Source organism: Homo sapiens, chromosome 6 (assembly GCF_000001405.40).
Source record: "Homo sapiens chromosome 6, GRCh38.p14 Primary Assembly".
In the NCBI taxonomy this organism is placed as follows: domain Eukaryota; kingdom Metazoa; phylum Chordata; class Mammalia; order Primates; family Hominidae; genus Homo; species Homo sapiens.
Window position 1 is genome coordinate 23,731,636 of NC_000006.12, and position 1,796 is coordinate 23,733,431.

Consider the following 1,796-nt stretch of genomic DNA (forward strand, 5'->3'; position numbering starts at 1 on the left):
AGTTGTGTTAATAGTATTGTACCCTTAAAGGTGTGATGAGAATGATATTCATCTCTGTGTTTTTCCTCCCAAAAATCCAAAACCATCACCCGGTCTACTCATGAGAAAAGCACCAAATTCCAGTTGAGGGATATTTTACAGAACACCTGACCAGTATTCCTCAAAACTGCCCTCGTCATCAAAAACAAGGAAAAACTAGAAAAATCACAGCAAATAGTTTACTAAGGAAACGTGAGGACTAGGTGTAATGTAGCATTTTGCATGGGCTCCTGAAAAAGAAAAGGACATTAGGTGAAAACAAAGAACGTCTCAATAATATGTATGGACTTTATATAACAAAAATGTATAAATACAGGTTCACTAATTTGACAAATGTGCCATTCTAAAGTGAGATATTAATAATAGAGAAAACTGGATATGGAGTATATGAGAACTCTCTGCCCAATTTTCCTAATTTTTATGTAAATTTAAAATGATTTTAAAATAAATTTTATTTTTAAAAAGATAACTGACCTGCATTAAGCTGTCTAAACCTAAAAATTATTTAAATACTTAAACCACTAATAGTGGAGTAATTTTGAGTCTTCAATGTATCCATCATTCCTATTTAAAGCCTCAAAAATGTCTGAGAGGGATAATGTTATTGTTTTATTAAATTCTATTCAAGAAACTATTACATTAATAAATAGAGTTAACAATGGCAACGGTGATATGACACTGAAGACATTTAGAAAAATTTGGCCAAATAACCCAGAGGTTTAAGATTAGCTTCATGAATGGTTATGTGCGAAGCTAACCACATGGTGTGTAATGGTTTCTATTATCACTGGTTGAGGCGTGAGTATTCCTATAATCATAATGTGATTTCTTTTTACAACTCATAATGGAAACTTTTTTTATAATTGAACTTTTTTGTATGTGAGAATCATGTACAGCAGAGGAACTGAACATTTCAAGAATATAATGAGAGTTCAGTTTAAGATTTTACAAGGGACCACACATTTGAAATATTGAAAAGGAAGCATGCTAACTGGGGAAAATGAATTGGTTTTCTCTCCTGCTGGCCTCATAGGAGATACAGTAAGCCGAGAAAATCCAGTTGTACTCTTGCCAAAGAGTTTCATGTGTCAGAGAAAAGATGCTCTGTAGGACTCTGTTTCAATAAAAGAGGTCAAACTATACTTTGCGTATAAGCATGCCCGTGTACATGTAATATAAGAGAAAAAATGTAAATGTGAAAGCATACATTCAGAACACTTTCATCTCAGGATATTTTTCTATATTAGAACTCCAAAATAAAATGCTCCCATGTAAGAATGTGGAGTCAGGATGTTAGTAGGTATATTCTAACAAAATTTATACCTGCTATTAATTCTGTGCCAAATATCCAAACTTTCACAATCCAAGTTTAAGTCCATTTTTTCACTTTTTAAAAATTTGTATTGATACTTATTAGATGTACATATTTTGGGGCCACATGTGCTAATTGGATACCCTCGTATGATTAAATCACCTTAAATATTTATCTTTTCTTTATGCCAGGAATATCTGAGTTATTCTCTTCTAGCTATTTTGAAATGAACAATTCATTAATGTTAACTATAGTCAATCTACTGTAAGAGTCTTATTATTACAACTTTTCAATCCCCCTTGGTGGTATCGATTGAAAAACTCAAAATTCTTTTTTTTTTCCCCCCATGACAGGGTGTGGCTCTGTCACCCAGGCTGGAGTGCAGTGGTGCAATCTCTGTTCACTGTAACCTGCGCCTTCCTGGCACTAGTGATCCTCCTGCCTC